The sequence below is a fragment of the Homo sapiens genome, chromosome 5 (assembly GCF_000001405.40).
Source record: "Homo sapiens chromosome 5, GRCh38.p14 Primary Assembly".
NCBI classification, from domain to species: Eukaryota; Metazoa; Chordata; class Mammalia; order Primates; family Hominidae; genus Homo; species Homo sapiens.
The window spans coordinates 98,084,266-98,107,674 of NC_000005.10; the positions used below are offsets into that span (position 1 = coordinate 98,084,266).

The 23,409-nt window shown below is 36.1% G+C and overlaps 1 long non-coding RNA gene across 1 annotated transcript in view; it reads right to left on the reverse strand.

Annotated features, from left to right (window-relative positions):
- Positions 1-1,600: 1,600 nt before the first annotated feature.
- LINC01846 (long intergenic non-protein coding RNA 1846) overlaps positions 1,601-23,409 on the reverse strand; it is a 75,374-nt gene continuing 53,565 nt past the window's right edge. Inside the window, exons 4-5 of the long non-coding RNA NR_146477.1 lie at positions 9,135-9,306; positions 1,601-2,019 (exon numbers count right to left, since the gene is read on the reverse strand). This is a non-coding gene — a long non-coding RNA (long intergenic non-protein coding RNA 1846). The remainder of the gene's footprint in view (positions 2,020-9,134; positions 9,307-23,409) is intronic.

A 23,409-nucleotide genomic window follows, 5' to 3' on the forward strand; every position in this document is an offset into this window, starting at 1 on the left:
CATTTGAGCTCCTGTATAGACGCTCCTTTTTATTAGGCCCCGGTCTCATTCCAGACACCAGACCAACTTGGACTGTGCCCCAAAAAACTCGTCATCCCTACTATCTTCTGTCTAGTCATACTCCTGCTCACCATTCTCAACTACTCATACATGCCCTGCTCTTGTTTACACTGCCAGTTTACACTGTTTCTCCAAGCCATCACAGCTGATATCTCCTGGAGCTATCCCCAAACCGCCACTCTTAACTCTTAAATAAATAATCTTTGCTGGGCAAGGCTATGCTGAACCTCCTTAGGCACTCTCTAATTAGATGTCCTAGGTCCTCCCAATTATTAGTCCTTTAATACCTGTTTTTCTCCTTCTCTTATTCCATTTAGTTTTCAATTCATACAAAACTGTATCCAGGCCATCACCAATAATTCTAAATGACAAATGTTTCTTCTAACAACCCCACAATATCACCCCTTGCCACAAAACCTTCAGCTTAATCTCTCCCACTCCAGGTTCCCACACTGCCCCTAATCCCGCTCGAAGCAGCCCTGAGAAACATCACCCATTATCTCTCCATACCACCCCCCAAAATTTTCACTGCCCCAACACTTTACCACTATTTCATTTTATTTTTCTTATTAATATAAGAAGACAGGAATGTCAGGCCTCTGAGCCCAAGCTAAGCCATCATATCCCCTGTGACCTGCATGTACACATCCAGATGGCTGGTTCCTGCCTTAACTGATGACATTCCACCACAAAAGAAGTGAAAATGGCCTGTTCCTGCCTTAACTGATGACATTATCTTGTGAAATTCCTTCTCCTGGCTCATCCTGGCTCAAAAGCTCCCCTACTGAGCACCTTGTGACCCCCACTCCTGCCCACCACAGAACAACCATCCTTTTTCCTTTACCTACCCAAATCCTATAAAATGCCCCACCTCTATCTCCCTTCACTGACTCTCTTTTCAGACTCAGCCCGCCTGCACCCAGGTGAAATAAACAGCTTTATTGCTCACACAAAGCCTGTTTGGTGGTCTCTTCACACGGACGCACATGAAATTATGGAACACTCTTTATGTGCCAGGCAGTAATTTATGTTCTTGGAATACAAATACAACAACGAACAACAGGGATGAGTCCTTGCCCACAAAGAGCAATAAATGAACAAACAAAAAAGCAAATAAGCCCGGGCGCAGTGGCTCACACCTGTAATCCCAGCACTTTGGAAGGCCGAGGCAGGCAGATCATGAGGTCAAGAGATCGAAACCATCCTGCCCAACATTGTGAAACCCCGTCTCTACTAAAAATACAAAAGTTAGCTGGGCGTGGTGGCGTACGTCTGTAGTCCTAGCTACTTGGGAGGCTGAGGCAGGAGAATTGCTTAAACCTGGGAGGCAGAGGCTGCAGTGAGCGACAGAGCGAGACTCCGTCAAAAAAAAAAACCACACAAAAAACAACAAAAAAAACAAGTAAATACACAGCCTTGCCTTAGTTGCTATGAAAACATGTATACTAGACAAAGAGGAAGTGAAGTAACAGGAAATAGTTTCAGGTAGGTATCTCACTCTAGGTTCTGTGAAATACTAAGCAGGTACTGAGACAGAGTCTGGAGTTCAAGATTTTTATTCATTTTTAATGCCTCTGAAGTAAAAGGAAAAGAAGAAAAAATGAATAGTGGAAGGAGTCAAGCTGTGCTGCAGGCAAGACACATCTTCTGAGAACCCACTGTGGAGCTCTGGAGCAGGTATTGCTCATTAATGCCCTTGTAGGTTGAAAATTATCAGCACTTTTTTATTTCTGCCTCACTCAGTGGTTGAATGTAGACTGCTATAGGAAGGGCATGACTTTGAATGGACCATTTCTGCAAAGGAGGCAAACCTTGAAGTTGCTGACAGACCAAGGTTTTCCACTGATTGTACTTCCAACAGCTCAGCAGCATATTCTTCCCTGGAATGGGATCTGGGTGGCACAGTTTTATGTCTACCACAATAGGATCACCAGGGAAGGATTTTTTCTGAACAGAAACCTGAATGAAATACAGAAATAAACTTTGCTAACATATAAAAATGTATAGCTACACTCAAGACTCTAAAAAAAATTTAGTAATCTATTTTACCATTCTTTAACTTTACTAAGCAACAACTTTTTTTATAAGAATATCTGAAGGAAACAAGAGACAGGCAGTCAATGAAGAGATCAGGGAAGGGGTTCAGGGAGCCTGGGAAGTGATGATAAGGACAGAAATACAAGAAAGAGGAGAGAGGATAAGGGTGTACTAGGCACAACGATCAAAATATTCATTGAGCCAACATTTCTTAATAATTGAAGGTGCCTCATGGCAAAGGCAACCAGGTGGCCATGTTAAGTTCTAGGCCACCCTAAACCCACCTTGGCATAGCTGTTTGGAGCCAGCACAGGTACTTCACCCATGGAAAACTAGCTCACACAGGCTGGACAGCACTTATGACTTGGCATGTCATAAAACTACAGCATTTTTAATTCAAAGAAAACAAGCCAAAACAATACTTATTTGTAAAAATATTTGTATTTGTTGATTTATTCGACCTTACTTGATGTTCATTATTTAACTTCACAGCGAGATTAAAAAATACAGCCAAACTATTCATAAATGTTAGAATATAATTTCATATAATTCACTATTTTCATATAATCCTAAGTAATCTACTATAAGCAATGAAAGTGAAGAGTAGCTGAAGCATTTTAAAGAAGAGACACTAAGAACACCAAAAGTGAGAACCAGCAATATTTAGGAATAAAAATATCTATACAAATCTACTTTCTAGATGAGCAGTTTTTGAATGTGTTTTAGAACATGCATAGGTAAGCCTATAGATTTCAAATTATATATTCACAAATATATATTATATATATAATTATATATATAATATATAATTATATATTAAGTCATTTTTCTAGGATCCTAGAATGTGACAAGACAGAAAAACAAAAGGAAACAGCAGTACATTATAATAAATATCTAGTAATACAAAGCTCAAGCTACTTCACAGCCCACCATTATCCTTAATTATGCCAACAGTTAATAAGAAAAGTATTTTGTTTTCAATATTACATATCTGTGGGAAAGTCATAAAGCTGAATACAATGACGAGTCTAGATAATTCTCAAAACCTGGCTTTCATGTAACCTCAGAGCTCCTCTTTTCTTGAAAATAAAAAAAATGACCACAGTTATTTTTATAATAAGGAATTATGTAGAGAAGGATCTGTTGAAGATGTTATCCAAGTGGTTAGAAAATAGCTCTTTGTGAGAGTTTTAAGGGGCAGTGAAAAGAAAGGATAAAGCTATTTTCTGCTTATAAGTAATGAAGTCTGGGATTTTGACATGGATAATTATACTAATGAGTATCAACATGTTATCTTCAGCCCCCAACTCATTTAAGACTCACATTTCCAGCTTCCTATTGAGTATCTTCACCTGTTAGTCAGGCACCAGGTTATTTTCAGGCATCTTAACCAAGCATACTCAAAACCAAATTTGTACCTATCAAGCATGTTTAACTAGGGTTAAATCCTAGGAATTAAAGATAAAGCTGAGGCTTTAGTTTTGAGCCCAATATCAAAATGTAATCCTTGATAGAAATGGATAGGTGAGGTAGGTGAGGGAGATGAGGGAGTCAAAGGCTGGAAACCAGACTAATCTTTGTAAGTACTAGGATTCAGCAAAGCTAAAAGCCATTCGTTCATTTCAGTCTTGTTTTTCTTCTTTCAATATTTTATCCCTGTGGTTACATAGAACTAGAGTTATTTGTTCAACACATTGTTAAGATATCATCATAATTCACTATTTTTCATTTGATTGTTCAAACATCCTTACAGTTTTTAAATAGAAGGGATTGCATTATAACCTTGCTGCTCTGCTTTAGTACTTATTCAACTCTTCAGATTGTTGAAGAATGAAGTATTACATAAATGCTCAATAAGATTAAACAGTCAGTATGGACTGAGGAGCTGAACACATCTATGTTTAGAAATTGAATGAGGACTGCATCAAGAGAAGATTGTCTACTTCATTCTAGTTGACAGCTCTAGCAAATAAGCTTTTCTCATGTAGATATTGTAAAAGAAAGCTATAAGAGTTATTATAAAAAACAATTACATTTGTGTTCCAATAATAAGCAGAATCATTGCATTTTGTAGACAATACTTTTACCACTTTCCCTTCTCAGAATTCAGGCCTGTCCTCGGAATGCGACAAGGTACAGCCCATTTGAGCTCCTGTATAGACGCTCCTTTTTATTAGGCCCCAGTCTCATTCTAGACACCAGACCAACTTGGACTGTGCCCCAAAAAACTTGTCATCCCTACTATCTTCTGTCTAGTCATACTCCTATTCACCATTCTCAACTACTCATACATGCCCTGCTCTTGTTTACACTGCCAGTTTACACTGTTTCTCCAAGCCATCACAGCTGATATCTCCTGGTGCTATCCCCAAACCGCCACTCTTAACTCTTAAATAAATAATCTTTGCTGGCAAGGCTATGCTGGTTAGAATTTAGTCAATGGATTGGACATGAAGAAGGTCAAAGGCTAGAAGTGAAATTTCTTCAGGAGGCGGGACAAAGTACTTGATGAATTAAAGGTCAGACTCATGAGAAAAGTAGAAGTCAGAACTGATTTGAGATGGCTATCATGTTAGGCTGGATGAATTATAATGTCCTTATTACTGAGAGAGAATATAGGAAAATAACCATCAAAATCTTTTGTCTAGACTTTTGAAATACCCCCTTATCCATCTTACTGTCTCCAATGTCATATTTTAGCTGCTCTACCTCCAGTTTCTCATTTGTAAAACAAATATGATTACTGCATCCTCCTTTGTCTATGCACATTGCACATGATCTTTCCTAAAATAGAAACATTTCTTCTGCTAGAGAACTCTTGCGATCATTCAAGAACTCATCAGTTTCTGTGTCATAGCAGGATAAGTCCCCAACTCTTTTTCTTGATCCCATCACTTTGTATGAACATGAATTACAACATCCAACAACCAGGCATTTGGACAATAAAAAATGAATTGTGATTATGCGCCCCCTCCTCCCTCCAGAGGCTGAGTCCTTTAAGTGTAGGGGCATTTTTCAGTCATTTTTTATTGTCCAAATGCCTGGTTGTTGGATGAATTATCCCAATGACGGGCTACCATAGGTGGTGCTAGACATTCTTACTCTACATTTGACTCAAACTAGGGTTAAATCCTAGGAATTAAAGGCAGAGGTTGCAGTGAGCCAAGATCGTGCCACTGCACTACAGCCTTGGTGACAGAGCGAGATTCTGTCTCAAAAAAAAAAAAAAAAAAAAAGATACTACCTATGACTGGGTAATGTATAAAGGAAAGATTTAATTGACTCACAGTTCCGCATGGCTGGGAGGCCTCAGGAAACTTACAATGGAGGTGAAGGGGAAGCAAGGCACATCTTCAAAAGATGGCAGGAGAGAGAGAGCACAGGGGAAACTGACACTTTTAAATCATCATGGGGGAAATGGCCCCCACGATCCAATCACCTCCCACCAGGTACCTCCCTGGACACGTGGAGATTACAGTTCAAGATGAGATATGGGTGGGGACACAGCCAAACCATAGCACCCTGATTAAACAATTAGCCCCCAAACTAGGGATCATGTAGCAATATAATTCCTGATGTGTGATTAATTTATCATCTCTATGAATTTTTGTCATAATTTAGAAATTTCCTTTTCTGGTAAAAATTCAACATGTATTTGTGATTTGAACAAAAGGAATATGTAGATTATGAATAAAAGGAAAATATCTTTATTTTTTATATTTATTTATTTATTTATTTAAGACAGGGTATCCCTCTGTCACGTGGCAGGATCATGGCTCACTGTACCCATAACTTCCCAGGATGAAGCGAGTCTCCTGCTTAGCTTCTGGAGTAGCTGGGACTACCGGCGTGTGCTAAGTTTTGTATTTTTTTTTTGTAGAGACAAGGTATCATTATGTTGCCCAGGCTAGTCCTGAGTTGCTGGGCTCAAGCAGTCTGCCTGCCTCAGCCTCCCACAGACATGAGCCACTGTGCCTGGCCCAAAATTTCTTATTTTTTTTAGAATTTTTAAATTGACAAATGAAACTGTTTAAATTGACAAATGAAACAACAAGTTGTTTTGAAGTCTGTATACACTATGGAAAGACTAAGTATAGCTAATTAACATGCATTACCTCTCATAATTATGACTTTTGTGATGCAAAGATTTTATATCCACTCTCAGCATTTTTCAAGAATATAATTTATTGTTAGCTATGGTCACCATGTGGTATGATAGATCTCTTGAATTGAACCCTTTTCCCTAGCTAAAATTTTGTATCCTTTGACCAGCATCTCTCCCCTGCCCCCCAGCCAACCACCCCAACACCTGGTAACTATCATTCTACTTTCCAATCTATACTAATGTCCTAACAGATAGGATATCTCCCAATGATATATGATGGCAACAGTGATTGATGCATGGAGCAAAATGCAGGGCACTCTACCTTGAAAATGGTACTGTAATGCTATAGATGTAGAGTTAGTTAACAATTGTAACCTAAACAGATATATATCCTTAACACCAATAATTTCACTTCTACACATAAGCCATTTGAGAAAGGAGATTCTGTCTCCATGTCTCCCAAAATGCCTACCACAGTGGTAAAAAAGATAAATATGTAATAACTGGTTATCTGTTAAAATTGAGTAAAATTTTTGAGGAGGCACAGACAGGAACCTACTTCTTTCTTGGGTATTGCAATTTTCTCTTCCCACCATTTTCTATTACTGTAATCATAGTCATCTTTATTACTTGCTTAGAATATGTGACTGTTATGTTATCATTGCAGAGACCTTTTCCTTATTACCAATCTTCTTTTAAAGCATTACATGGAGGAACATGAACAGTCTGAGCATTCAAAGTTCAAGATTTCAAGACAATCAGTTCTGTTTGCCTGATCTACAGGATGAAGGTAACAATAAGAGAAAGTGATCATAATAGTCAATATTTAATACATATTTAATATATATATTTTTAGATTTAACAACTGGTTAAATCTATTAACCATATATCATCTAACCATTTCTATACCTTCCTATCACTCTTCTTTTCCTATTCTCTCTTAATTCCAATTTTCCTACAACACACACACTCATATACACATACGCACACATGCACCCACTATCCATAAGACCATCACGTCTGGGGATTTTGCACATACAGAGCCTAATAAAATTCAGCAACAAAGATCATTCAAATTCATAACTCAAAAATTATCAGGTACAGAAATACATGAACTGAGGTGAAGAAAAGCCAAAATACTGGGAGAAGTAGAATATCTTTCACAAAAGACCTTCTAGGAAGATCATATGGTACTGTTCTGCAAATCTTTCCTTTTACAACATTGAATGTTTTAATGTGAGCTTTGCAGATTCAGTTTCAAATCTTATCACTAATCCTGCCCTTAAGCAAAGCTGTAAAGAAGGTGAAATTAATTTTATACATTTCCTATTCTGCATTCTGTCATCCTCATCTTCCTTTGAGGGTCTAACAACTTCCTACCACTTTCTGCTTGTGCCCATTACAACCCAGATTTTCATCTTTTGTACCTGGAACAGGCCTGGCCTTCCACAATGCTCTATGTGCTATGAAAGTCAGTTTCTGCTATTATCATTGTGTTCTATTATTTCATGTATTTTCTAATAGCCTTAAAGATTACTTTGAATAGGCCTGGAATCTCTAACACAATTAAATACTATAGCAGGCATATAGTATTACCAAGGAAAGTAAAGCAAGATATAGAACAAATTGAATGATGAAAACTGAGACAAACTGGAGACAGGGACCATGTCCAAAATGGACATCCATTATTCAACTGTAGCCTCATGTTATCATGTGGGAATGAAGGCCTAGTGTTGTAAGATTTTAGATTTTTCAAGAGGAGCCAGAAATTTGTACCTTCATACAAAAATTTCAATATTTGTAAAACACCATAAAAGTGAAAAAAATACCTACAAATCAGAATTTAGACTATGTTGACATTAACTTGCTACCTCTGTGATAAGCGATTTTAGAATAAGATTTTATTCTTGCTTAATTCTTCTCTTCAGAGATACCTAGTGTAGTAGGAGAATCTAACACTTAAAAACAGGTCAGGTATGGTGTCTCACACCTATAATCCCAGCACTTTTGGAGGACAAGGTGGGTGGATTGCTTGAGCCTAGGAGTTTGAGAGCAGCCTGGGCAACAGAATGAGACCCTGTCTCTACAAAAAATACAGAAATTAGTCAGCTGTAGTGGCCTACGCCTGTACTCCCAGCCATTTAGGATGCTGAGGTGGGAGAACACTTGAGCCCAGGAGGTCAAGTCTGCAGTGAGCCATGATCATGCTACTGCACTCCAGGCTGGGCAAGAGAGCAAGATCCTGTCTCATATAATAATAATAATAGTAATAATAATAACAATTTTGTGATGGGTGATAAATATCATAGGGGCAAAATGTCATGGGAGCACAGAGATGGGAGAGGGGACTTTCATAAGCCTAGAATGTTCTCAAGGAGTATGTCTCAGAGAATATGAATCTCAAATGAAAGTAGGCCTTTACCAGAGAGAGAGAAAATAAAGAGTATTCCAGAGAGTTGTGTGTGGGAAGATGCAGACATAAGAAACAGCAGCATTTACTTGGGGAAAAAATAGTTTAGGTTCTGTTCCCAGATAAGTGGAATTATATCAGATACAGTTTTTAAGGAGAGTCTATTTGGGGCAGGAGGGCCTCTTGAGTTCTTATTAATAGTTTTAAAATGTGAACACACCTTACTGCACATTAAGCACATGTACCCCAGAACTTAAAGTATAATAAAAAAAAATTTTAAAAAAAGAAAAAAAATGTGAACACACCTCTATTTCTCTCTCCAGGTAATTTTAACATGACCTTGCTACTCCCTTGGATGAAAGGATCATCACGAAGTTTTACAACAAACTTTATGGTTATGGAAGTTCTATATTTACATTTGGAAGATGACAAAGTTGCCAGTAGCAGATATTTTAATTAAAAATATTTTCCTTACTGTTCCAATATCTCTAATGTTTTTAAAAGTAGATTTATCTTACTTACAGGTTCATATGAGATAATTGAAAACATGGTGATCTCAGATACAGCAGCACACATGTGAGGAAACGTAGTAGTCAGTCACATTGGAATACCTTCAAAATCTTCAGTAAAATATGGGTGACGTTGACGAATAGTTCATTCTCCCTATGGAGCTGTCCACAGAGGCTAAAAATAGCTATAAATAGAAGAATCCAGATAAAATCATGTTGTATCATGTGTCATATCAATAGTAATATATACAAATGAAAAATATTGTGAAAATAGTAGAGGTAGAGGCCAGATATGTTAATAAAGGGGTTTAGAGATAAAAGCATGGATAAATAAATATGGCATAGGTATTTTGAGCCAGGCTTTTCAATGATCATAACATATTCTATATTTATATAGTCACATATTTTTGCATATATACAACCTATTCACATTCAAAGAAGTTGTTGCAAGAGTGTACAAAAATGTCACTAAGAAAAACAAGATTTATCAGGTAATTGCAGTGTTCGCCATTACTTTTAATTACTTCTAATGGCAAGCACTGCAATCCCTTTTGCACCAACCTAATATGTGGCCTCAGGTAATATGCCTGTAATTAGCTTGTTGGTTTTATTTGAAAACAACTATTGTGTAGCAATTGGAAAGTCATTAGCAGGACTCTTTTGCCACATTCATTTTATGCAGGATAACCTTGAGTCCACTCTGTTATATACCTATTTGCAAGAAAAGTCAGTTTAGTTCATCTGTTTCTTTTACCCTGTTCCCCCACCATGTTCTTATTTTATGAATGTATTTTGAGTGTGTTTAATTAACCTGTAGATTTCTATTTTGTGTGGATTTTTTTCATGGCATTTTCAGCTGATACGTTGATTAAATTTATTCATATTCTTAACCAAATCCAAGCATGCTGATCAATATTTTCTGAACAGAATTCAGTGTGAAACACCAGATAAGAGGAGCAAATGCACACTCATTGATGTTTCTCTGCAGTGAAAATTATTTTAAGATGTGGAATGATTTGGGTATGTGGATGTGTGTCTCTTGAGATATGATGGTATAATCAATATGTCCCACTGAAGACAAAGTCCTAAGGCTAAATGGTTTCAGCTGGGCTGTGAAGGAAAGCAAGTGAGAGTATCATTATTTTGAGGAAAATATATGTGATTTTATCTAGATAATGACAGTTTGCACTGTAGCAACATTCCTAGATGAAATCTCTGTACACCAGAGGTTTCATCTAAAACTTCATCTTTACTTATATACTTAGGTGAGGGTGAGGCAAGGGTTAGGTGGCCCACTAGAAAGAAACTTCTGTGAGATTCTTCATTATGCATCTATTATTCTAGGATTGTCTCACTTGTTGAGTTCCATAGTTTTTATTTATTCATAAATGTCAGGAACAGGAACAACAAAGCCAGATTCAAAGAGCCTAACAAGGAAGAAGATAAAACAGCAAAAGTTGAAAATGAAATGTAGATGATGACACATAAAATTAAGGCATCACTGATTCATTTTAAAAATAATTTTTAAAAAGTCTTTCTTTTGTGAAAATCCAAAGAAAAAGCTCCCGGATAGAGTAGGGGGAAGAAAATGGCATTTTCTTGGTATCCTTCATCTCAGCCAAGAAAAAAATCTTATGTTAAAAATGAGTGGTTGCATTAAAAACTTTTTTTTTCTGAGTCTTTAATATCATCAGAATAAATTATCCTTCTGTATCAAATTCAAATGAAATTTATTTGGAGCATTTAATGTAGGTGATATGGCTTGGCTCTGTGTCCCTATGCAAATCTCATGTTGAATTGTAACTCCCAGTTTTGGGGAGGAACCCAGAGGTAGGAGGTGATTAGATCATGGGGGTGGATTTCCCCCATGCTGTTCTCATGATAGTGAGTTCTCACAAGATCTGATGGTTTAAAAATATGTGGTACTTTCTCTTTCTCTCTCTCTCTCTCTCACTACGATGTGAAGAAGGTGCTTGTTTCCCCTTTGCCTTCCACCATGATTCTAAGTTTCCCGAGGTCTCGCAGTCATGCTTCCTGTTAAGCCTGTGGAATTGTGAGTCAATTAAACTTCTCTTCTTCATAAACAGTCTTAGGTAATTCTTTATAGCAATCTGAGAATGAACTAATACAGTAGGACTATCACTTTAAAATACATAAGAGACAGAGAATTATGTAGTTTGAACTAATTTTTGCAGATGTGAGGTGTTCTTTCCTCTTTTAATTACTAGACAAAACATTTGAATGACTCCTAAATGTATTCAGATGGATGAAATCACTTTTCCACCAACCCATCCCCAAGGCCATCATGAACTACCAGTTAAGAAAATCAAATTCTGTGGATTTCTATTCTTTTAGCTTTTTAATTCTATAATTTATACTCTAGTCCAGTATTTGCAGCTTTTTGGGTTGTGTATATTTTGGGGGCAATTTTACTTACGGATAAGGAAATGGAGGCATGAGAACTTTATCAATTATTCTAATTTTAAAGTGCAAGTTGCATTGTAAACAGATCTCAAAGTACTGTGTGAAGTAGATTGGAGTCACAAGTAGTACTATTAAAATTGTGAATAGCCTGATATTGCAGCTGCAGTTGAAGGTTGAACAAGTAATTGTGAATGTGATATAAAATGAGACTGATCAGCTAATAACCAGAGTCATTGTTTTAAGTTCAATGTCAAAGTCACTTCAGACATGTAGCACAATCTTTTGAACAGACTTGAGTGTGTAATAAGTGGAATAAATGTTTACCTAATAATTTACCTCCGCAATGTAAGTTATTCTAAGGTATGAAATGTTCCTTGAGCATTTACATGTTCTCCGAGGTTGTGATGGAATAATTTATTGATTCTGTTGAAGATCAATTGCTAAAGCTGCATAATTTCAGCTAGAAATGAAGGAAAGGAAGAAGCAATTGCATCATGCTTAGAAAGGCAAATGTGAGTTACATTGAGTAATAATGGCTTACACATTCCAATGAAACCTCTGTGGCCCAGCATCTCCTAAAGTAAATAAATGCCTTGAAGAAAGTAAGATATAAACCTAAATGGCCTGCTAAGCAAGCTCTGATCTAAGGCCTTTCATTTTGTATATCTATTATCCCAGGCATGTATCTTACTAACAGGACTGTAAGTATTGATTTATGCATAAGGTGTCAGACATAGGAGCTCACATCTTTGGTCTGAATATGGTTTTTAATAGTGTATCTATCATGGCAGCTTTTTAAATTTAAGTTCCTTCAGGATATAGAAAACCTTTGAAGAAAAAAAAAGTGACACGTGGAGAAATTGTTTTCTTCTCATTTCCAAGGATTGACATTTCTTTCTTTCTTTCTTTCCTTCCTTCCTTCCATCTTCCTTCCTTTCTTTCTTTTTGCTTTTTTTTTTTTTTGGATGCAGATTCTCACTCTGTCACCCAGGCTGGAGTGCAGTGGTATGATCATAGCTCTCCACAGCCTTGACCTCCTGGGTTCAAGGAATCATTCCCACCTCAACCTCCAGAGTAGCTGGGACCACAGGCACATGCTACCATGCCCAGATTGCCATTTTTTAATGCAATATTTATAAAAAGTGTTTTCCAAGTCTATAATCTATGTGATATAAATGGCATTTATTCACTTTATAATCCACAAATATCATTTTTTCTCATTTGAGAAAATCGATAATTATGAACATTGTGGCCAAATAATTGGCACCATGCTATTTACATTTGCTGTCTCTAAGTTTTATTACCTATTTTTATTTATTGATCCTGATTATTTTATTTAATGATTCTTCTATACTTAATGAGATGCCTTCTAGTTCTAATATTCTAGATCTGGATAAACAAATATTAATCATATTCACATCTTTTATAATTTTATAAACTTTGATTCTTCCAACCCTACATTCACCCTTACCTCTAAGTTTTTGTCTCTTTAAATCACATATCTTAAAAAGCCCATTCATCTTTGTATGGTTGTTCTTTTCTGGATCAGTTTCTATACTGTTATTTCTTTCTTAAGGTATGGCATACAGAACTGCATTCAGTACATTAATTTCAATAAATTATATTTTACTCAAGGATAAGAATAAACTTACTAGCTAATTTTCCTTTTAACTACATTCTCAATAATAAGCCTTATTGTTCTGTTGGCCTCATGTTTTTCAGAAAATATTCTTAGGAATGATTCTACAAGATGAATGCATTTTCCTCGCAGTATAGAAAGTATGTATGTGGGTATTGTGTGTGTGTGTAATTTTTATTTTTCAAATGCATTATTATACTAGTTCATTCAGATACTTAGCTTCTACTCATATGCCAATTTATACGTAAGACTCAGTTGTAGCCTATACTCCTCCACCAGACATTTCACTTTCTTTAAATATTTAGTGCTATTTGAAAGTCATGAAGTTTCCCTGCTGACTTTCTTTCATAGTGAAGTTGTTCAGGTAGGTCTTGGCAGGCCACCAAGTAGGTTAAATCTTATGTATTAGTCAGGGTTCTCCAGAGAAACAAAACCAATTGAATATATAGAAAGAAAGAGTGATTTATGGTAAGGAATTGGCTCACATGATTATAGATGTTGGCAAACCCAAAATCTGCAGAGCCAATGTCCCAGTTGGTGACTGAAATTGGAAAGCTGCTGTAGAACCAGGAAGAGCTGATGTTCCAGTTTGAGGACCATCAGGCAGGAGAATTCTCTCACTCAAGAAATTGTCAGCCTTTTCTTCTATGTAGGCCTTCAACTGATTGGATGAGGCCCACCCACACTATGGAGGGCAATCTGCTTTACTCTAATGACTTAAATGTTAATCTCATTTAAAAATACTCTCACAGAACCACCCAGAATAATGTTTGTCCAACTATCTGGGCACCTGTGGCCACTGTCACATCATGGTATCTGTTTCTCATTTTTGAAAGGAGCCTATCTCTCCCTAGCCTTTGTTTTTCTGTCTATGAGTCATTCCCTCTTTAAAGAATTTGTTCTTCCCACTTCATACTGATCAACTGCTTTTAATACCCTTAATTACATAATTTTGTATAATTTAAATTCTGAATAAATTGTATTAACTGTTTCTCATATAAATAATCTGTCAAATAATTCTAAAGTTAATAGAAACAATTTCCCTTGAAAGAATATCATATTGCCTTTCCACTAAATTTCTATGCATATTTAAGTGTAAAATAATCTTGCCTTTTATTGTAATTCCAGACAGTCAGATATGGTAGTGTATTTTAACAGTTTGTACTTTTCAGGGTCTTTTCTGGGTGCAAATCACATTAGCTATGAGCTTGTTCCAGTTGTTCAGCAGAATATGGATTTGGATGTTGTTTCTTGACAAATGAGCTGAATAATTACTTACTTTAGCCATGATATTGTTTATATTTAAATTCTAGATTGCTATTAGATCTGGAACAGTGATTCCTAAACAAACCAATCATCAAAATCACATGGAAACTTATGAAAAATACAATTGTAGGCCCCCAGATCCATAATTTTAAAATTTTACTTTTCTAATTCTAAGCCATTGATGAAGAGAATATTTGGATTTACAAAGTATTTTTATTAATTATCTGTTTTTTTATTTTTTACAATTATGTATAGCTAAATATTTAGCTAACTTTTTCATAATAAAAATCAAAATAAAGAATCCATTTATTCTATTTGTTGAATTCTATTTCAAAGGTCAGCTTTTCAACTACCATCATTGTATAGTCCTGGTGATTCTTAAGCTGGCATCCTACTATTTATTTATTTATTTATTTATTTAAAGATAGCGTTTCACTCTTCTTACCCAGGCTGGTGTGCAATGGCGTGATCTCGGCTCACTGCAACCTCTGCCTCCCGGGTTCAAGAGAGTCTCCTGCCTCAGCCTCCTGAGTAGCTAAGATTACAGGCATGCACCACCACACCCAGCTAGTTTTGTATTTTTAGTAGAGACAGGGTTTCTCCATGTTGGTCAGGTTGGTCTCGAACTCCTGACCTCAGGTGATCTGCCTGCCTCGGCCTCCCAAAGTTCTGGGATTACAGGCATGAGCCTTCACGTCTGGCTGTTGATTTTTTTTTTTTTAAAGCTTTTATTATTTTCTTTGGAATATAAAGCACAGTATTCCTTAAAGTCTTTTTTTTTTAGCTAGTCTTATGGGGTTTTTTGCACCTGATTTACCTTACTTAATAGATTTTCTCGTTTTGTCCCCTTTACCAATTGTACCTTTAAAAAATGCCATCTCCTTTTCCTCACCCACAATGACCTCTTTTGCTTTGCCAGTTAGCCATACAGGGTTTTTGTTTGAGCACCTGGGTTTCTTGATCCTTGGCACGTATTTTCCCTGGGCTTCTAATAAGGTGTTTTAAACAGTTTCCAGGTTTCTGGTAGATTATTTGCTTTTTTTTTTTTCCAACTCCCTTGCATTTTATTCTAATATTCACATTTTGATGTAGGTCTCTTTTCCAAAAGTGAGTTAGCATGTGTTCTATGTTTCTTGGCTTTTCCACCCTCAGTAGAAAGTGAAACTTAATCATATACTAATCACTAATATATAATGATTTGTATAATTCGTGATTCACTTCCTGTCTTTTATGCAGAACTTAGTGTACTTCCTTTCCATGTGAATTCTAAAATTACTTAATCTAAGAAGCAGTTATTTATTCTCCCAAAAATGTATTCCTCATACCTATCCTTAATGAGAAAAATCCATGAATCCAGATGTGAATAATTAAAATTCTATTTGATTACCATCTGTACTGATTTCAAGTATTCACACCTAGTGTCAATATTCTTAGCATATATATTATATTATGTGTATAGCGTATTATATATACTAGCATGCATACAAGTAGCATATTATATATGCTAAGAATTATATATAATACATATATAATATGTATTTGGGCATAAGGTAAAGAGGATTGAAGTAATCATAAATCAGTGCATAACACATTATTTTTATTAGCTTCTCTCTTGATTGACTGATTAATTGATCAATTATCTTCCTGCCATAGTTCTCTGTTTTCTCCCTCTAGACATGCAATGATGCTAAGAAATTTAACACATCGTTTTGCTTATTTGTGTTCTTGCAAAATGTGCATTGTTGTTTTATTTGTATTTTGCTGCTTATTGTACTTGGTATATTTGTAAAAAGTATTTTGATAGATATTTCCCACTGTTCCTTATGTTTAAATCAGTGCTCTGTTTCTGTATAGTGCTATGAGTCTATCTAACCTTTTGTTTCTAACTGCTGTATAGTACTCTGTGGTGGACATCCATGACTTTTCCTTTATTTTCTCTTTTAGTGATGGTGACTCAAAGTGCCTCCAACTCTCCTATATTATTTAGCCCTGGTTTATGGCACCATCCACCACTGATTTCTTGATTGCAATTAATTTAGGAAAGACTAATTCTCCTCCAAGTGATTTCATAGTAAAATCTTTATTTAGATGAGTACTTCTGAACCTTGGCACTTTTAACATGTATTGTAGGATATTTAGCAGCATCCGTAGCTCCACTCACTATATGCCAATAGCACCATATTTGTGAAAATTGAAACAAAAACAAACAAACAAACAAAAACCTCTCCAGACATTGTCAAATGTCTCCTGGGGGAGCAGAATCAGTCATTGATTAGATCAATTGATACAGATCTTCTAAATTTTTATTTAGATGCTACTTTTGTTAAATCTGATATATTCTCAGGTATCTATTACCACTTGTGACTCAGTGGCACTATATCTTGGCTTCTTTTTCTACTCATCTGTTGTTTTTCCAAGATGTCAATTACAGAATTTTACTCATTTCTTGACAAGCATTTTATTGAGGAATAGAATCTATCTGCTTGCTTGATTGGATTTTTACATAATCATTGGGGAAGAAAATCCTGGCTTCTTTGCCAAGACACTTTTGACATTTTTCAGTGACTAACTCCTTGTATGATTTTTGTTTTTGTTTTTCTTTTTTTTTTTTTTTTGACAGGATTTTGCTCTGTCACCCAGGCTGGAGTGCATGGCATGATCAAAGCTCACTGCAGCCTCCACCTCCTGGGCTCACACTATCTTTCCACTTCAGCCTCCCAAGTAGATGGGACCACAGGTGTGCCACTATGCCTGGCTAATTTTTCTATTTTTTATAGAGATGGGGTTTCACCATGTTACCCAGGCTGGTCTCAAACAGCTGGGCTCAAGCAATCTGCCTGCCTCAGCCTTCTAAAGTGCTAGGATTAAAGGTATAAGCCACCATTCCTGGCCCCTGTATGTTCTTTACATATAATGATGTTCTTTTTTACTTAATACACACAAGGCAGACTTGAGGTTGAACAGAAATGTCAGCACTTATCTTTAATTACTTAATTTCAAATTTGCAAGGAAACGATCCCATGATTTTTGTCATACCCTGATTTTAATTATAACCTGAGTTATCCAATTATTTCACAGATTTGATTTTAGGCTCCTGTCTGTATTAAAAATGAAGCTTCACCAAAAGGTCCAAGATCTCATTACTCAATTAAGTAGTAGATTCATTACCCAAAGAATCCAACTATCAGCAGCTATCTTCTTTTTAATTACTATCAAATATGAACAAGAAAATTACATATTTAGAGCCTGAATTAACATTTCATTTCAATGACTCCTAAAAATATATGAAATGTTATGTTGAACTTCCAATTCAAATGGTCTGAAATCATGCAAGCAGCATATTTTTAAAAGTTTAAATTAGTGACAAGGTTAAAACTCTCAGCAAAGGGTTGAGAGTCAAAATATTTGAGTTTAATAACTGATTTGTCCCTATTCGTTTTGCTTTAAAGTCTCTAAATTTTGTTTTTTCAACTGAGAAATGGCAAAATTATTTTAAGATAAAATTAAATTAAAGTCCATTAAACTCAAAGATGCTATCAAATAGATGGGATCATTTAATTCTTTACCGAAATTTTAACAAAATTTTGACTCTGTCATGTATGAGACCTTATTTGTAGTGGCAGGAAATTATCTAGAGAAATTCATCTGGACTCCATGAAGCTACCAACATCATCTGGTATTGGTTACATACTCATCTTTGATGCTCCCACCCCTCTATTTCTGCTGTGACATCATAACTCACCATTTCCAATTTGTCATTTGTTTTTCCTCCCTATCTTATCCATCTATTCTTGGCCAATACAAAAGATCTGCTTACTTCTTATTTTTGGTCCAACATTCCTCCAACCTGTCCCCAACCCAACTCTGGCTCACAAATATTTCTCACTAAATATTCCATTAATGGACCTAGTCATAATCCCTAAACTGGTGTTCTTATACATGGAACTCAAGAATATATATTGCCCGTAAAGATCCAGCTTATAGATATTCATCAAAAGAGCAGAAACAAGTCCAGATAGTATTGGATTCTGAGGTCATGCAATGCCCCTAATGAATAGTCTCCATCAGCTTCCCATTTAACTGAGAATAGAATTCAGTATTCCTACAAACACATCCAAACATGATTTGACATATCTATACCATCTGACTTCATCTGCTGCAGCTGTACCCCAGCACATTCTACTTCATCCACACTGATTTTGTTTCTCATCATTGAATAATACAAAATAGACCTTGCAGAGTTGTTTTTCCTTCCGCTTGGAATACGCTCCTTTCATAGTAAATGCCTAATAAGTATTTATTGAATGAATGAATGTTTCATACCTCTCACTTACCTCTGTTGCCATTTGTAAGGGCTAAGGATGAAAGCCAGTGTTCTATTATGTGACTTACAAGGCCATCTCATCTAAATGCTATGTCTATTCCCAGTTACTCATTGGTGGTTATCCACTGAACTACTTCCCTCCAAAAATAAATGCATAACTATGTATCAAGTGAATATTTTCATAAACCTAAAAGGTCAGTATGTAATAATATATTTTACAATATTTTAGAATAGATCACGTGAACTTAAAATATGCATGTTTTGTACCTAATCTGTTTTCCAGCTATACAAATCATAAAAAGAAATTATTATGTTAATAACATTAAAAATCTGTAACCAACTTATTTTGCTATTAGTTATGTGAAAGTTTTTTTTTTTTTTTTTTTTTTTTTTTTGAGACAGAGTCTCGCTCTGTCACCCAGGCTGGAGTGCAGTGGCATGATCTCGGCTCACTGCAAGCTCCACCTGCCGGGTTCACGCCATTCTCCTGCCTCAGCCTTCCGAGTAGCTGGGACTACAGGCACCCACCACCATGCCCAGCTAATTTTTTGTATTTTTAGTAGAGACGGGGTTTCACCGTATTAGCCAGGATGGTCTCGATCTCCTGACCTTGTGATCTGCCCGCCTTGGCCTCCCAAAGTGCTGGGATTACAGGCATTAGCCACCGTGCCCAGCCATGAAAGTTTTTTAACATGTTTATTAATTTATAAAATATAAATGAATTTGTATGGAAAATGGGTAAAGTAAAAAGAAATCAAAATGTTTATAACATTCAAAATTGAAATCTGTGATACATAATTTTTTAATGATTACAGGAAACTGGCAGACCCATGAAAAGTGGGTTAAATTATTGTTTGGATTGATTCTCTTTATTCATGCTGAACTTCGCTAATACTATCTAACATGAGGAAGCTGCGAGCTTAATCTTTGCCATAATCAGAAAATATAATAGTGATAATGCACTGCAGGCTCGCACAGTGCTGTGTAATGTTTCCAGCCAGCTGCAATCTCTCTCTGGCAACCAGATATGCAGAGCCACATCTCCTGGGGGATGAAGGAGAGACAATGCATTTATACATTCAAGTGAGTGTGTATCCAATTTGAACATTCGCATTGACGAGAAAGACCTGTATTTTATGATCATTTTTTCTTTTGTTTCCATTTCTGCATAAAATGCTTTTTAAACAACAGTAGGAGGAGGTAATTAATATCTGTTATATAAACTACCTAAATGAAGAACACCAGCACTTACATGTTAACAGCCCATTGGTGTTGAGTCATAAAAACATCTAAATCTCAATTCTGCCATTTACAGCAAAGCTTGGGCAAGTTTCTTCATTGTTCATAATTTAGTTCATGTCAGTAAAATGGTGGTAGGTGATGTTTAACTTATAGGTCTAATCAGAAAGATTACAGTTTAAATGGCTTGCAGAGTTGTTGGCCCATTGAGCACTCAGAAAGTTTAGGCCTTGAAAAAACCACACCATCAATTATCCAACTAATGATAGATTCAAAGCCGTGTGGGCAGCACTCCATTGAAGAATTTTTATGGGTGTTATGGTTAGGAACCATGTCTTGATTCACTTTATGTGATTAGGATCTTGCTCTGTGCCTGGCTCATGTGTGATTAGGATTGTGCTCTTTGCCTCTCATAATATGCGCTCATTAAATGTTGATTGCTGTTGAATGATACTCAGCTGTTCAAAGTGAATACGGAGAACTGAGGGTAGGGAAGAAAGGGGAAGGTGGGTCATCTCCCTTTGTTTACCTTTCTACCAAAGAGTTTGCTGATTCTTTTTATCCTAATGATTTGAGTGTTCTCTCATCAACACTTAGTTTCTCAACAGCTTTGAGTTTAGCAATCTGAACCTTCCCCTTGTCTTCTACTGGCCAAACTCTGGGTTATTTTTCAATCCCCTGGGTTAAGTCCTGGGTGATTACCACAGCATCCCTTTCCTCTAGATCTTGCTGCTCTACAAAGCCATACAGAGCCCTTCAGATGTTCAAACACAGAAATGGTTTCATAATAATTTATTTGTAACAGAACTCTGTTGTTTGCTTTTCTGAGATCTGCTCACTCAGGAAGCAAGATTCCTTAGGGCAAAATCTCTGTGCAAGGCACAAGGTGAGAGGCTCAGAACATATTGCACCGATTTAAATAAAAAAAACCTCTCCTTGGCCTGTGTGTCTGGCTCCTCCGCTGACAGAGTCTTTCTCATAGGAGAAAGAAGAGAACCAGGAAAGGTGATCTTTCCTAAACACACTCTACCATCTTAGATATCTTTACAACAGGCTTTCAGAACTCTTGTGGGGGACATATTGCACTGCCCAATTTAATTGCCAGTGCTTACTGGCAGTATCTTACCAGGGCAGCTATGGTTCTGCCCACTGTCAATAAAATGCGCAGAGTTTCAGTGAAGCAAAATAAACAGGCTCTAGAGATCTGCTGTAACCACTGTCAACAATAATATACTGTACACTTAAAAATGTGTGAAAAGAATAGATCTCATGTTGCATTCTCACCACAATAAAATAAAATTTAAAAAAACACATATGTTTTTAAAAATAAATAATAAAAAATTGTGCCTTCTTCCCTACTAGTGTGGGAAGAAAGGAAGCTAGACTCTTAGAAGTAACAAAGGCAGGCATTGAATAAGATGAAATTACATTTTAATGTGGTGAAATCTAACAGCAAAATTTTGCGTGCAGGGAGGGGAGGGTGCAAGGGGGAAGGAAACGGTTTACCATTTCTGTCACTCTGGGGTTAAAATTAGTTTCAGTGATTCACTTGTTATTGCTGTGTACTGCAAAGGCTTTATTTAGCTTCCCATTGGGGGATTTAAGTCCTTTGTTCATTTAAAAACCAATAAGGAGAGAATATTAGTTCGTGAAAGAATAATATCCTTCGTATCATCTCTCAAGGACATTTTTTCTCGTTCTTCCAGAAACCTGGGGCTATTGCATTGATTTGCTTTTCCATCTACAGGCAAGTAGAGAACACTAGGAGAGCTTTGCTTACAGTATCATAGACGATTTCCCCTCATTTTCCAGTGTTGAAAATCAGAATATCCAGTTGTAAACAGGTTGTCATGGTTGTGTGTGTCTCTCTTTTCAGGTTGGGTTTCGAAGCGAGTCTGCTTTATAATTTGTTTCTGAAAATGCTCATTGACTTGAATGCCAGTTGGATTAAAGGGGAAAAAACTTATTTTATGATTTGTACAGCTGTTTCTGAGCCCAAATTCTTATAAAGGTACCCTGGTGGCATTTCCTTACCACAAGATTGACAGACTGGGGAAAGCTAAACATTTTCTTTTCTAAAGCATTAGTGAAAAATGGACCTATTTTCGGGATTGGCTTGTCCTTGGTAACAAGTTTAAAACCACTGAGTTGCATCATGACCATAAAGCAAAGAAGTTATTCCAATGTTTTAATTTCTAGCCAGTGTTTAAGCAGCTGCAACAGAAAATATAATTGCTCCTGACCTTCCATGTCATTCCCAGTAAACTGATTTTCCTGAGAAATTTCACAATGGTCATTTCCTCTTCATGTCCAAACAGATGTTTAGTGTTTTTAAGACCCTTTCTGTAAATGTCATATGGTACTTAAAGTATAATTTAGTGTGTACATGCTGTATGCTTTGGTGGTATTCTTTCATTTGAGAAAATATCAAAAATATCAGAGACTAGGAGGATAGGAAGTTTAGGTAGGATTTCTTGGGGGAAACCACATATGCACATGTTTCTTGAGGAGCTGACATCATTGAGATTTAGCAGTTGAAGTATCATTTAACCTAGCCTTTTTTTTTCATAATTTTTCTTGCATTCCTTAGTGGGTTTCATTACCATGTGAAGGCAAGCTCTGCAAAGATGAAGAGGCATCATCTGCTCCCCAGAGAGGGAAGGAGACTAATATAACGGAATTTCAGGGTGTGAGCAAGAGTGCAGACACACAAACCTCCTGTGGATTGTGGGAAACCAGACAGCTTTTTTTTTTTTTAATATTATTTAAACTCCAAATCTAAGGGGAGAAACACCGTGAGACTAACATGTTACAGTCCAAAAATAATTCCTTTTTCCAACAGAAAAAGGCTATGATATGTTTCTAATTGATAACATACTTGTACTTTTTTTCCCACAAACAAATCTTCTTTCTAAACCTGCTGGCTGTATTCTTATGGTCTTTGAACCCCACAATTTCTTCCCATTTCTGTCTAACTAAAGAACTTGTTGGTTAAAAGTTAGGTAAAAAAAAAAAAAAAAAAAAAAAAAAAAAAAAAAAAAAAAACCTTTAATTTCTTAAAATATTTAAACACAGGTTGGTTTCTTTTTTTTCTGTTTTCCTTTTAGATGAACTATTTAGTAATCTAAAACAATCATCTTATTATTATATGATTTAACTTTCCTGTTTATGCAATAGAAATTGTAAAATGCTAAATATAAATCTCTCAACAAAAATAAATTTTTCTCTTGCTCTCACTCCTAATGAGTGGTATGTTCAGATAGATCAGAGATGAAAAACAATAAGAGAAACCTGAAGTTGAATTTATTGGACATTTAGAACATTGTTGACCTAAGAGACATTAGAAATTGAGGTGGGGATATAGAGAACATTAAAAGAAAGAGAATTTACTGCTGA